The sequence below is a fragment of the Homo sapiens genome, chromosome 15, assembly GCF_000001405.40.
Source record: "Homo sapiens chromosome 15, GRCh38.p14 Primary Assembly".
NCBI classification, from domain to species: Eukaryota; Metazoa; Chordata; class Mammalia; order Primates; family Hominidae; genus Homo; species Homo sapiens.
The window spans coordinates 34,182,401-34,197,072 of NC_000015.10; the positions used below are offsets into that span (position 1 = coordinate 34,182,401).

The following is a 14,672-nucleotide window of genomic DNA, read 5'->3' on the forward strand; positions in this document are numbered from 1 at the left end:
GGCAAATTTGACAGCATTGTAAAGCAAATGAAATATAATCACATCTCAGTATGCCCTCATTTAGAGTGACCATAGAATTTATCATCCAAACTAGGACACTTTTGAGAGTGAAAGGAGTTACTATTAAAAATTATGCTGGGACAATAGGCATAAATCAGATCAGTCCCACGAATATTGGGATATATGTTCACCCCACCTGAGGTAAATGTTTACCATCCTAGACTGGTTTATTCATGATTTTTTTCTATACAAATGACTAACTACTCAGCAATAAAAAAGAATGAACTACTAATAAACATGACAACCTGGATAAGTCTCAAATGCATTATACTAAGTGAAAGAAGCCAGATTCGAAAGGCTACATATTACATAACTTCATTTTCATGACATTCTAGAAAATAAATATGGATAAGAAAAATATCAGTGATTGCCAGAGACAGGGAAGGAAGCTGACTAAAAAGGATAAGAGGAAACATTTTGAGGAGAGGGACATGTTCTGTATTTTGATTGTGGTGGTAATTACACAACTGCCAAAACTCACGGAAAGGATACCTCAATAATCTGACTTAAAAATAAATTGGGGCACACAGCTATCCATGGCTTTTCACTAGACTCCTTGGATACCTGGCATTTGCTTGACAGAGCTGAGAAATATGGCGCCCCTTGGCCCACATCCATTCTTTTGTCTCCAGGAAACTGGTTACTCTTCAATCCTGGAGGTGCCAGAAACATTCCTCAAAGTATCTGGAATTTTCGTTTTGACTGGCGACTACCAAGGCCAGCTCTACCGGTTTTGTTTGCTCCTCTCAGCTGTGTGGGCTGGGTCTGACCCTGCAGACTGGGGATGCCCTCAGTACCCTTTGTATGCAATGATGTGGGGTAAGTGCTGTCAGGCCAATGGGAGTTAAAACTTAATTTGCAAAGGCCTCCAGGCTCCTCCTGCCCCTCCCAGCTCTCTGGAAAGCTTTCTACTTACTATGCAGGTAGGTATCACAACTTACAATCTGGGTAAAAAATTAAAGACTCATCCGAATTTTTAAAGGCTGGTGCAGCTAAAAAGATTAGGTCAAACAGATCCATGTTCAAATTCCCAGCTTTCCCACTTAACTAGCTCTATAACCTTGGAAACAGCTGAATCTCACTTTTTTAAATCTATTAAAGACATTTATGTATTTACCTTGCCTCACTCCAAAAGAAAGAAAAACCTGCAGACAATAAAATACGATTATTTTTTAATAGAGGAGGAAACTAGAATAAAGAGAAAGGGGAATAAATAAGTTAATTACCAAATTCTTAAAACCTGAGAGAATATTTTGATGTTCAAAGTGATTTCAAAGTGGTAGGCAAAGTTTGGCAGAGTACTAACATTAGAATGCCATGCAGAGATCAAGTGATTCCATTTATGAGAAGAGGGCAAAAACTTAAGAAACTACCACATTAAATCTTTTACAAGAAGCAGAGGGGAAAAGGTAGAAACTCCTAAACTCGGCTGGGTGCGGTGGCTCATGCCTTAATTTCAGCACTCTGGGAGGCCGAGGCAGGTGGATCAGCTGAGGTCAGGAGTTCAAGACTAGCCTGGCCAACATGGTGAAACCCCATCTCTACTAAAAACACAAAAAACTGCCGGGCGCAGTGGCTCACGCCTGTAATCCCAGCACTTTGGGAGGCCGAGGCGGGTGGATTACGAGGTCAGGAGATCGAGACCATCCTGGCTAACCCGGTGAAACCCCGTCTCTACTGAAAAAATACAAAAGAATTAGCCAGGCGTGGTGGCGGGCGCCTGTAGTCCCAGCTACTCGGGAGGCTGAGGCAGGAGAATGGCGTGAACCCGAGAGGCTGAGCTTGCAGTGAGCCGAGATCGCGCCACTGCAGTCCAGCCTGGACGACAGAGCGAGACTCTGTCTCAAAAAAAAAAAATTAGCTGGGCGTGGTGGTGCGCACCTGTGGTCTCAGCCACTCGGGAAAGTCAGACAGCAGAATCACTTGAACCTGGGAGGCCAATGCTACAGTGAGCTGAGATCGCTACAGTGAACCGAGATTGCGCCACTGCACTTCAGCCTGGGCAACAGAGTGAGATTCCATCTCAAAAAAAAAAAAAAAGGAACTCCTAAACTCATTGTAAGTATCCTTAAACATAGCTTTTGGTATTAATACTTCCTGTCTCTCCTAATGTTTCTTTTTTTTTTTTTTGAGACAGAGTCTCGCTCTGTCACCCAGGCTGGAGAGTGCAGTGGCGATCTCGGCTTACTGCAAGCTCCGCCTCCTGGGTTCACGCCATTCTCCTGCCTCAGCCTCCCGAGTAGCTGGGACTACAGGCGCCCGCCACCATGCCCGGCTAATTTTTTTCTACTTTTAGTAGAGATGGGGTTTCACCTTGTTAGCCAGGATGGTCTCGATCTCCTGACCTCGTGATCCGCCCACCTCGGCCTCCCAAAGTGCTGGGATTACAGGCATGAGCCACTGTGACTGGCCATGTTTCATTTTTATTAAAACAAAATGTTTCTTCTAAAACTTCTCCTTCCTTCCTTTCTACTTCATCATAGCCTCTCTTGATGACTTGAGTTCAAATCTTCCTCTTTGAAACACTTGAGACAGGGTCTCGCTCTGTGCCTAGGCTGGAGTGCCATGGTATGATCACAGCTCACTGCAGCCTTGACTTCCCAAGCTCAAGTGATCCTGCCACCTCACCCTCCCAAGTAGCTGGGACTACAGGTGCCTGCCACCATGCCCAGCTAATTTTTGTATTTTTTGTAGAGACGGGGTTTCACCATGTTGCCCAGACTGATCTCAAACTCCTGGGCTGAAGAGATCTGCTTGCCTTGGCCTCCCAAAGTGCTGGGATTACAGGCATGCACCACTGTGCTGGCCTCTAAAGGACTCTAGATCCTTGTCTTCGTTGATTTCTTCCTTCACTATCTCTTTTTGTACTTAGTGAATACTGCACAGTTTAAGACTTAACAATCTACAAATAATTGAAGGCCTAAAGGTAAGATATGACTGGGCACTAACTAATCCAGGTGTGTCTCCTCTTGCCAAATAGACTGCAAAACTTCTCTTGGGCAGCAACTGCATTTCGTATATTTACGTATGCAATGTAAATTGTAAATCAATGATTATTAGATTAGTTAATATAAATGTATACCTATAGATATATAACCTCCAGTGAACAATGAATACCATCACACTCAAAATACTGTTACCAGAACAGCAGGGGTTTGGTCTAGGTCCTGATGCTTGGCACACAGAAAGCCAATCACTGAGACAATGCAGGGAAGAAGGCTCTAATCAGGTGCTGCAGCTCAGGAAATGGAAGATCGGCCTCAAATCCATCTCCCTGACCAACTAAAATCAGGGGTTTATATAGCAGGGAAGAAATGTAACTACATGCAGGAAAACAGGAATTAGGGAGGGGTAAGAAAGAAGAGTTGGTCAACAGGAAGCAGGCGGCCACTTGGGCAATCATGACAGATAAGGGGTCTGGTGTCTCATTGTCCAGATGCTATGATCTGGTACGTTTTAGTTCCATGATACTGTCTGAGAGTCCTGCTGGTTGGTTTCCTGAGAAAGGAATTCATATAAGACAAGAGTTACTTTCTCAAAGTTTTAAGATCGGGAGGGTCAATTTCTATGTTTATTCAAAGAAACCATAAACATCACTTCTATGGGACAATTGGGCCATTTCAGTACCCTCCTTTCTATTTATTAGTCCCTCGATCATGGGGAGTCTGGTCATTGATCTTTCTGGCTGCTTCATGCTGAGGAGGGGCATTGTGGGCAACTAGGTACCATGAGTGACCACACTGATGACAGTGGCTGCCACCATCATGCCAGTTGCAGCAGGGAAGACCAGTTGGGTCTGCACAATCCATGAAGCCAGTGGGAGCCCCGCCCCTTCTGAGTTGGGACAGGAGGTCCCCATGCCGCTGCAGTTGTAGACCCAGGTCTCCTGCTTTACTGAGCAAGCAGGAGCCCTGCCCAGGTGGGCTACAGCCACCCAAACTGCAGCTGTGGATCCCAGCCTCCCTGTGCTCTTTGGGGAGCCAGGAACAGGCAGGATCTGCCTTCCAGGGTGCAGCTGCAGCCACCTTACCTATGGCTGCAGACCTGGGCCTCCTTCTCCAGGAAGCAGGCAGGAGGTGGGGACAGGCGGGAGCCCTGCCTCTTCCAAATTGGTGGGGTGGGAGCTCCCCTGTGCAGCTGTGGCTGCCCTCCCAGGCACAGGACCAGGGCGTCTCTGCAGTCTACACCCTTGGGCGCCCCAGGAAGGATCCCCCTCCCCACTGTCCCTGCAGGCTCAGGGGTGTCTGCTCCCACTGCCTGGCCTCTCTCTGCTCCCAGCACCTGCTCTGATCTGAGAGCAGGGTTGGGGCCAAGCCCCAGGGCCATGAATGGCAGCGGGAGACAGACAAGAGTCCTGGATGGAAGGGGGCAGGGTCCCCAGTAAGGCCCCACCCTCAGGCCAGGGAGGACCTGAAGGAAGGGGGCTGGGCTGCCAGTCCCAAGGACAAGAATGGGGACTCGTGGTGCCTCTTCCGGGCCCACCCATGACAGCCCATGGATCAACTGGCATGCACTTCCTCCTCTCTGAGGTCCACAAAAGCCCTGGGCTCAGCCACAGCAGGGCGGAGGATGCCAGAGGACAAAGATGGCAGAGAGATGATGACAGAAGAGGACAATCAGCTGCAGAGTGGAGTATCCTCTCTGCTGATAGTTGGAGAAGATGGGACCACCAGCTGCAGAGAGGAGTACCCGCTCCGCTGAATGCTGCAGACGACCAGGCGGAAGAGAGAAGCTGCCCTATCTGCTGAGCGCTTCAGAGACCTGCAGAGATATCAGAATGACTTAACTGCAGAGAGGAGCCACTCTCTCCAGGGCCTCTTCTCTGCTAAGAGCTGAACACTCAACTGGACGACCTGCCTACAGAGAGGAGCTACACACTCCTCTGAGCTGTTCTAACACTAAATAAAATTCTTCTTCACCCTTCACTTGTCTGTGTACCTCATTCTTCCTGGACACAGGACAAGAACTTGGGCAAAGGCACTGCAGCCACAGAGGTTCTGGCCAGAAAAATCGACACCCCAGAGATCCCATAACAACATGGCCACCCAGGAATCAAAGGTTAATCTAATACTATAGTTTTCATCTGAAATACAATATTTCTCTCTCCAGTCCCCCACTTCCACCTAACATAAATCACAGCAGGACCAAGCCACCTGTAAAATAAGCTTCAGTCCAACTATACTTGGCCTGATTACCCATACAAAGTACAGCAAACATCATTGTCCACATAGCCTCTCCTAAAATGGTTTTGTTGGAACCTATCATAAGGCCATTTCAGTCAAAGTCCTGGAAAAATAACCAGTTCCTCCATCGCTGTCCCATTATAAAAGAAAACAGATTCTTACTGAACTTATGCAAACAACCACATTGCCACAAATTAAGAATATTCACAAATAGGCCAGGCACGGTGGCTCACACTTGTAATCCTAGCACTTTGGGAGGCCAAGGTAGGTGGATCACTTGAAGTCAGGAGTCTGAGACCAGCCTGGCCAACATGGTGAAACCCCGTATCTACTAAAAATACAAAAATCAGCCAGGTGTGGTAGCAAGTGCCTGTAATCCCAGCTGCTCGGTAGGTTGGGGCAAGAGAATCGCTTGAACCTGGGAAGTGGAGGTTGCAGTGACCCAAGATCATGCCACTGCCTTCCAGCCTGGGTGACAGAGGAAGACGCCATGTAAAAAAAAAAAAAAAAAAAAAAAAAAAAGAAAATTCACAAATAATTTATGAATTCTGAAGAAACTGGGCAGAGAGAAATACACCTCAAATTCTGTACACTCTACTCAGCTGTTAAAGGCTATAAATAGCGCAAATGAGCTGGGTGTGGTGGCTCACATCTGTAATCCCAGCACTTTGGGAGGTTGAGGCGGACAGATCAGTTGAGGCCAGGAGTTCGAGATCAGCCTGGCCAACATGATGAAAACCCGTCTGTACTAAAAATACAAAAATTAGCCAGGCATAATGGCACATGCCTGTAATCCCAGCTACTTGGGAGGCTGAGGCATGAGAATTGCTTGAACCTGGGAGGTGGAGGTTGCAGTGAGTCAAGATTGTGCCACTGTACTCCAGGTTGGGCAACAGAGCAAGATTCTGTCTCAAAAAGGGGGAAGAAAAAAAGTTTTCCAGACTCTGAAAAACAAAACAAAAAAGTAGCAGTGTTTCAAACAAAAAGCCGTACAAAATTATTTCAGTTCTCCATTAGTTCTGTCCATGCAATCAGCTCCTGCTCTGCTTCATATTGGGTTAGTAATTCTTATGAACGCATCAGCCTTTTGGTTAGTCCTGGAAGTTTTCTCTCTAGTCTCATGGCACAATTTCCAAAGTTATCAGAGGCCTGCATTCAAGAGTCCTTTTCATGAACTCCCCAAAGAAGTAAGCCCAGCATTATAACTGACTGTCAGCTGCTTTTTGGAAAGAATCAAAGCAAAACAATTAATGACAAAAATCTCAGGACAGACACAATTGACAAGGACATTTGGTTACTTTTGTGGCATACAAAAATGTAACAAAGACGTCATTACTGACATATTAATAATAATCAAGACATCAGAATTTTAGGAATTTCATACAACCTGGAACACATTTTTTTTTGAGACAGAGTCTCGCTCTGTCGCCAGGCTGGAGTGCAGTGGTGTGATCTCGGCTCACCACAACCTCTGCCTCCCGGGTTCAAGTGATTTTCCTGCCTCTGCCTCCGGTGGGATTACAGGCATGCGCCACCACGCCCAGCTAATTTTGTATTTTTAGTAGAGATGGGGTTTTGCCATGCTGGCCAGGCTGGTCTCGAAGTCCCAACCTCAGGTTATCCGCCCGCCTCAGCCTCCCAAAGTGCTGGGATTACAGGCGTGAGCCACTGCACCTGGCCCTGGAACACATATTAATACCACATCTATGTAAGTATAATCCAAAGAAAGTTAAACACCACCTCGCATTTGATAATGCCTCCTTGTATAAATCTAACATCAAATAAGTCTAATAAGTCTCTCTTGGACTTCAGGGAACCCAATATCCAAAAAAGTTTGAGGCAAAAAGACTGAACTTAGAACTTGCAATTTTGCTTTCGGAAAGTTTGTCAAATATCAAAGGTTTAAAAAACTTGATATCACAAAATATGATCATAGGTCACTATAAAATAGTCATTCATTTAACCAAAATGAAAAAACAAAAATGTTTACTCTTTGATAGAGAGGAGACAGTTTCCTAAACAAAAAGACTATAAAGACGGCACAAAGCTAACTAAATCTGTCTCTTCCCTCTCCTTTGTTCCCTGCAGTTTACTCAAAAAGTAAACAAAAATATTTTATTATCTCTTATTAATATTACACACAAATTCTGTTCAAAAGAGAAAATCAAATGTTACCTTTGTATGTTTCAGTACTGCTATTTTAGGGTTCATTTCTTAAACAATTAAAAGGAAGTGTATGTATTCAATCCAGCATGTACTGATTCAGCACTACTATGTGTCAAGAGATGAATAAGAAGTACATTCTTTTTTTTTTTTTTTGAGACAGAATCTTGCTCTGTCTCCCAGGCTGGAGTGCAGTGGCACGATCTCGGCTCACTGCAAGCTCCGCCTCCCGGGTTCATGCCATTCTTCTGCCTCAGCCTCCTGAGTAGCTGGGACTACAGGCGCCCGCCACCACACCTGGCTAATTTTTTGTATTTTTAGTAGAGACAGGGTTTCACCATGTTAGCCAGGATGGTCTCGATCTCCTGACCTCGTGATCCCCCAGCCTCGGCCTCCCAAAGTGCTGGGATTACAGGCGTGAGCCACCGCGCCCGGCCTGGAAGTACATTCTTATTTCTAAGAAGCTTACAATCTAGTGGGGACGAATAACAAGGAAGCCAATGAATATGAATAATGAGTGCTATAAAAGAGGAACAGATTACTAAACAGGTTACTAAAAACGCAGAAGCAGTTCATCTAATTTAAGAGGCAATGAAGCATCCCAGAATACACCTTGGGTCACAGTAGACACACTGGTCCCGAAGACAAACAGGAAATTGTAAACATGAAATAAAGGAAAGCTGTCTAGTTAAGCAACCACAGTAAAACTCTTGTATACTCAAAATTCAGAATCCAGAGCTTTCCACATTTCCGAATTTCCAGTTCTTCTCCAGATATGGTTCCTCAATTTGAGCATCAATAGAAAGCAAAAACAGTTAAAGAAGGTAATGGGAAACTTTACAATGGATAAATCAGGTTGACAACATCTAAGACACTAATCAATTTTAGCATCAAAAAAAGAGACAACCAGACATTATATGAATCCTGATATGATACAACAGGAAATATTAACAACACTACTAATAAATATTCTTGCCAAAAAAAATCAAACCTGAACATAATCAAGCTTCAACTGCCTGTTACCAACTACCAGTTTAATGGAAATACAGAAGACACAGGAACCTGTTAATGCGACCATGAGGATGCAATTAGAAAAATCCAGAAAACTTTCTTTGGGATAGATGACTCAGTGTTCTCAACAAACGCTTTGCAAGAAAATAAAATAAGAGGATGAGGCTACATATTAAAAGACACTTCAGGACTATATCAACTAAATGCAATGTTTGGATGTTGCTTAGATCCTAGTTTAAAAAAAACAAAACTTAAAATGTATATCCTCCCCAACCACTTGAATGTATTTCTGTCACTATAGTTTGCCTTTTCAAAAATTTCATATAAATCATAGACCATATATATATATATATATATATATATATATATATTTGGTAGGGCTTCTTTCACTTAGCATAACTAGTTTGAGAATCATCCATGCTGTTGCATGCATGTATCAATGGTCTATTCCTTTTTATTGTTAACAGACTGTTAACATAACAGTCTATTAGGTGGCTATACCACAATTTGTTTATTCACCTACTGATGGACATTTGGGTTGTTTCCATTTTTCACTATTATTAGTAAAATTACTGTAAGTCATGTAAACTTGTATGAACATATGCTTTCATTTCTCATGGGTAAATACCCAGAAGTGAAATGGCTGGGTTTTATGGTAGGTGTATGTTAAACTTTTAAAGAAAATTGCCCAACTGTTTTTACAGTGATTATACAATTTTACATTCTGATCAGCCGTGTATGAGATAGAAGAATTATTATTAATCATTGTTAATTATTTTTAGTTGAATGGTAGTGTGGTTATGTGTTTTTTTATTGTTGTTGTTGAGAGTCTTTTAGAAATCCATCCTGGCTGGGCGCAGTGGCTCACACCTGTAATCCTAACACTTTGGGAGGCCGAGGTGGGCGGATCACGAGGTCAGGAGATCAAGACCATCCTGGCTAACACGGTGAAACCCCGTTTCTATTAAAAACACAAAAAATTAGCTGGGCGTGGTGGCGGGCGCCTGTAGTCCCAGCTACTTGAGAGGCTGAGGCAGGAGAATGGAGTGAACCTGGGAGGCAGAGCTTGCAGTGAGCCGAGATTGCACCACTACACTCCAGCCTGGGCCACAGAGCACACAGTGAGACTCCATCTCAAAAAAAAAAAAAAAAAAAATCCATCCTACAGATAAAATGAGATTACATTTAGGATTTGCACAGAATAGGGAGTATCAACGAAGTAAGATATGTTGATAATTGCTGAAGCTGGGTAATTGTAAAGTTTATTATACTATCCTCTCTGCTTTTTTATATGATTAAAAATTCAGTCAGGCGCAGTGGCTCAAGCCTGTAATCCCAGCACTTTTGGAGGCCGAGGCAGGTGGATCACCAGGTCAGGAGATCGAGACCATCCCAGCTAACACGGTGAAACCCTGTCTCTACTAAAAGTACAAAAAATGAGACAGGTGTGGTGGCACGTGCCTGTAATCCCTGCTACTCAGGAGGCTGAAGCAGGAGAATTGCTTGAACCCAGGAGGCAGAGGTTGCAGTGAGCAGAGATGGCGCCACTGCACTCAAGCCTGGGCGACAGAGTGAGACTCCATCTCAAAAAAAAAAAAAAAACAAAAACAATTCCTGTAAGTTACAAGAAATAGGATACCAGACTATTTCAGTGAACAAAGCCAATTCATGGGAGACATACATATTTACGGCAATGCTCTGCAATGATACAGAGAAAATGGCATGTCTCTTGCTTTTAGGCCTAGAGGGTGGTGGTCTCTTCAATGACTGTATACGAAATCGACTTTGTTTCAGTAAGTAATGTGAAAGTCCGGGGAGGGAGAAGAGACAGAAACAAAAACAGACGTGTGTAGAAAGACTACGTGCTGTCCCTCCTTCCCACTCCATACTCCTGGATTTGGGTATAGGGAGAAGGATGCATAGAAGAAGAAAAAATCAGGAATAAATATGGAAAAAATAATCTCTCTCCTTTTAGAATATCCCCCAGCAATCACTGAATGCTTCCACAAAGGTGAACCTGGGAGCTGGGGATCAACAGTATTAAACGTTTTTACTTTATGTCCTCTTTATACCAAATTTTGCATCTCATAAGTATTACTTTAAAAATAACTTAAGGCTTGCCGGGCGCGGTGGCTCACGCCTGTAATCCCAGCACTTTGGGAGGCAGAGGCGGGCGGATCATGAGGTCAGGAGATCGAGACCATCCTGGCTAACACAGTGAAACCCCGCCTCTATTAAAAATACAAAAAATTAGCCGGGCGTAGTGGCGGGCGCCTGTGGTCCCAGCTACTCGGGAGGCTGAGGCAGGAGAATGGCGTCAACCCGGGAGGCGGAGCTTGCAGTGAACCGAGATCGCGCCACTGCACTCCAGCCTGGGCGACAGAGCGAGACTCCGTCTCAAAAAAAAAAAAAAAAAAACAAAAAAAAAACTTAAGGCCAGATGCAGTGGATCATGCCTGTAATCCCAGCACTTTGGGAGGCTGAGGCAGGCATATCACTTGAGGCCAGGAGTTTGAAACCAGCCTGGCCAATATGGCAAAATCCCATCTCTACTAAAAATACAAAAATTAGGCAGGCGTGGTGGCATACGTCTGTAATCTCAGCTATTCAGGAGGCTGAGACACAAGAATCGCCTGAACCTGGGATGCGGAGGTTGCAGTGAACAGAGATGGCGCCACTGCACTCCAGCCTGGGAAACAGAGCAAGACTCTTGTCTCAAAAAATAAATTAATTAATTAAAATATCACCAGTAGGCTGGGCATGATAACTCATTCCTGTAATCCTAGCAATTTGGGAGACAAATGCAGTTGGGTCGCTTGAGCCCAGGAGTTTGAGACCTGCCTGGGCAACGTGGTGAAACCCTGTCTCTACAAAACATACAAAAATTAGCCGGGCATAGTGGTGCACACCAGTAGTCCCAGCTACTCAGGACGCTGAGGCAGGAGGGTCGCTTGAGCCCAGGAGGTTGAGGCTGCAGTGAGCCAAAATTGCACCACTGTACTCCAGCGTGGGTGACAGAGAAAGGCCCTGTCTCAAAAAAAAAAAAAAAAAAAAAAAAAAAAATCACCAGCAAAATCACCAGTAATTCAACCACTTTTCCTCCCATGCAGTTTAGTTTTTCTTTGTCGTTTTTTATTTTTTTGAGATGGAGTCTTGCTCTGTTGCCCAGACTGGAATGCAGTGGCACGATCTCGGCTCACCACAACGTCCGCCTCCTGGCTTCAAGCGATTCTTCTGCCTTGGCCTCCCGAGCAGCTGGGACTACAGGTGCACGCCACCATGCCTGGCTTATTTTTGTATTTTTAGTAGAGACGGGGTTTCTCCATATTGGCCAGGCTGGTCTCGAACTCCTGTCCTCATGATCCACCTGCCTTGGGCTCACAAAGTGGTGGGATTATAGGCGTGAGCCACTGCACCCAGCCTGCAGTTTAGTTTTATATGCTGCATTTTGTCATTAATATTATATTTTCCTACATGTTAAAAGATTTTTTTTTGAAAATATGATTTAGGGCCAGGTGCAGTGGGTCATACCTGTAATTCTAGCACTTTGAAAGGCCAAGGCGGGAGTAGCACTTGAGCCCATGAGTTTGAGGCCAGCCTGGGCAACATACTGAGACCCTGTCTCTATAAAAAATAAGAAAAAAAAACTTTAAAAATTACATGAGCATGGTGGCACGCGCCTGTAGTTCCAGCTACTTGGGAGGCTGAGGTGGGAGGACAGCTTGAGCCTGGGAGGTGGAGGCTGCAGTTAAGCTGAGATTGTGCCACTGCACTCCAGCCTAGAAAACAGAGCAGGACCGTGTGGAGGTGGGGTTGGGAAGGGAAAGCCTCTGCATAACCAAAGAATCAACAAAGTGAACAGACAGTATCTACAAACTATATATCTGACAGTGGACCGATATCCAGAATTTATAAGGATCTCAGACAATCAGACAACTGAACAAAAACCCCCAAATAATCCCATTAAAAAACAGGGTAAGAACACAAATAGACATTCTTCAAAAGAAGACAAATGGCCAAGAAGCATGTGAACAAATGTTCAATATCACTAATCACAGAAATGCAAATTACAACTACAATGAAATATCATCTTACACCAATCAGAATGGCTATTATTAAAAAGACAAAAAGTAACAGATAACAAGGGTGTGGAGAAAACAAACTCATATACTATTTGTGGGAATGTAAATTAGTACAACCTCTATGGAAAACAGCACAGAGATTTCTCAAAGAACTAAAAACGGAACCACTATATGATCCAGCAATCCCACTACTGGGTATCTACCCAAAGGAAAATAAATCATTATATCCAAAAGACACCTGCACTCATATGTTTATTGCAGCACCAATTTATAATAGGAAAGATATGGAATCAACCCGTGTCTTATCAACAGAGGACTGGATAAAGAAAATGTGGTACATATACAATATGGGATACTATTCAGCCTTAAAAAAGAATGAAATAATGTCTTTTGTAGCAACATAGATGGAACTGGAGGCCATTATCTCAAGTAAAACAACTCAGACACAAAGACAAATACTGCATGTCCTCACTTATAGTAATGTGTACATATGAAAGCAGTGTGGAATAATAGAGAATGGAGACTCAGAGAGGTAGGGGTGGGAGAAAGGTGGATGATGAAAGCTTGCTTGATGGGTAAAATGCGTGTTGCTCTAATGATCCATGTACTGAACCTCCTGACTTCACCACATGCAATATATCAATGTAGCAAAATTGCACTTGTATCCTATAATCCCAGATACTCAGGACGCTGAGGCAGGAGAACTGCTTGAACCTGGGAGGTGGAGGTTGCAGTGAGCCGAGATCCCATGACTGCACTCCAGCCTGGGCAACAGAGAGAGACGCCATCTCAAAAAAAAAAAAAACCCAAAAAACAAACAAACAAAAAACCCACAAATAATTTTTTTAATTGTAACTGTCAAATGACTATGTATTGGGAATTCTGCAAACCACACTGCATTCCTCAAAAGCAATTCTATTTTGTGGAATATACAAAATAGTTATGGCGACATGGAAATTGATGATAAATGCAAATAAATTTAGGGTCCTAAAAGTAACTTTGTGATTTATGAACATTTGATTTATAAATCTTTACCTTACTTGCTATATGAGAAATCAATGTGTGTCTGATTTTTTAAACTACGTGTGCATGCTTATCTAAAATGTGTCTCAAAATAATAAAAACTGGAAAGGGGTAAGCACATTCTGGCTTCAGAGAAAAAATAAAATAAAAAGATTCATTAAAAAAAGATGTTACACATGTATCTTAAACATTTCAATTTAAAATCTAAAAATCAGCCAGGCGTGGTGGCTCACACCTGTAATCCCAGCACTTTGGGAGGCCAAGTGGGATGGATCACCTGAGGTCAGGAATTCAAGACCAGCCTGGCCAACATGGTGAAACCCCATCTCTACTAAAAATACAAAAATTAGCCACGCATGGTGGCGCCTGCCTGTAATCCCAGCTGCTTGGGAGGCTGAGGCAGGAGAATCGCGTGAACCCGGGAGGTGGAGGCTGCAGTGAGTCGAGACTGCATGACTGCACTCCAGCCTGGGCAACAGAGCGAGACTTTGTCTCAAAAATAAAATAAAATAATTTTTAAATGACTGGGCGCGGTGCCTCATGCCTGTCAATCCCAGCACTTTAGGAGGCCAAGGTGGGTGGATCACTTGAGGTCAGGAGTTCAAGACCAACCTAGCCAACATGGCGAAACCCAGTCTCTATTAAAAATACGAAAACCTGCCAGGCGTGGCGGCAGGCACCTGTAATCCCAGCTACTCGGGAGGCTGATGCAGGAGAATCACTTGAACCCAGGAAGCAGAGGCTGCAGTGAGCTGAGATTGCACCACTGCACTCCACCCTGGGTAACAAAACCAGACTCCGTCTCAAAAAGAAAGAAAGAAAGAAAGAAATCTAAACATAATGTATGATGCATCATCTATAATTTATAGTTTGGGCTTAAAGTGGCTCAAGAACTTGATACATTATCAGTACAAAATCCTAAACTGTTACAGTTTTACTTCATTTATGTTTAGCTTTCTAATCTACACCTTATTTGATATACAGTTTTTCAGGCATTTGCCTTTGTCCAGACTACCCAAAGCATTACAATTAATTTCATGGAAACAATATATTTTAAATTCCTATTTCCAATTGCTGTCTTCACTAAATTGGGAACTAAGAAGCTTGGCAAATGTGGCAGAGATAGACTGCTGCTCTCTACAAAGGTTTT

At 43.7% G+C, this 14,672-nt stretch overlaps 1 protein-coding gene across 10 annotated transcripts in view; it reads right to left on the reverse strand.

Annotated features, from left to right (window-relative positions):
- The window catches only part of KATNBL1 (katanin regulatory subunit B1 like 1), a 69,423-nt gene that overhangs the window by 41,727 nt on the left and 13,024 nt on the right, over nt 1-14,672 (reverse strand). The window contains exon 1 of one of the 10 annotated variants that reach the window (XM_047433038.1): nt 1,178-1,200. The exons of the other annotated variants lie outside the window; for them this stretch is intronic. The gene's annotated coding sequence lies outside the window, so the exon portion shown is untranslated. Of the gene's footprint in view, nt 1-1,177; nt 1,201-14,672 lie in introns of those variants that run through there. 10 annotated transcript variants of the gene reach the window in all.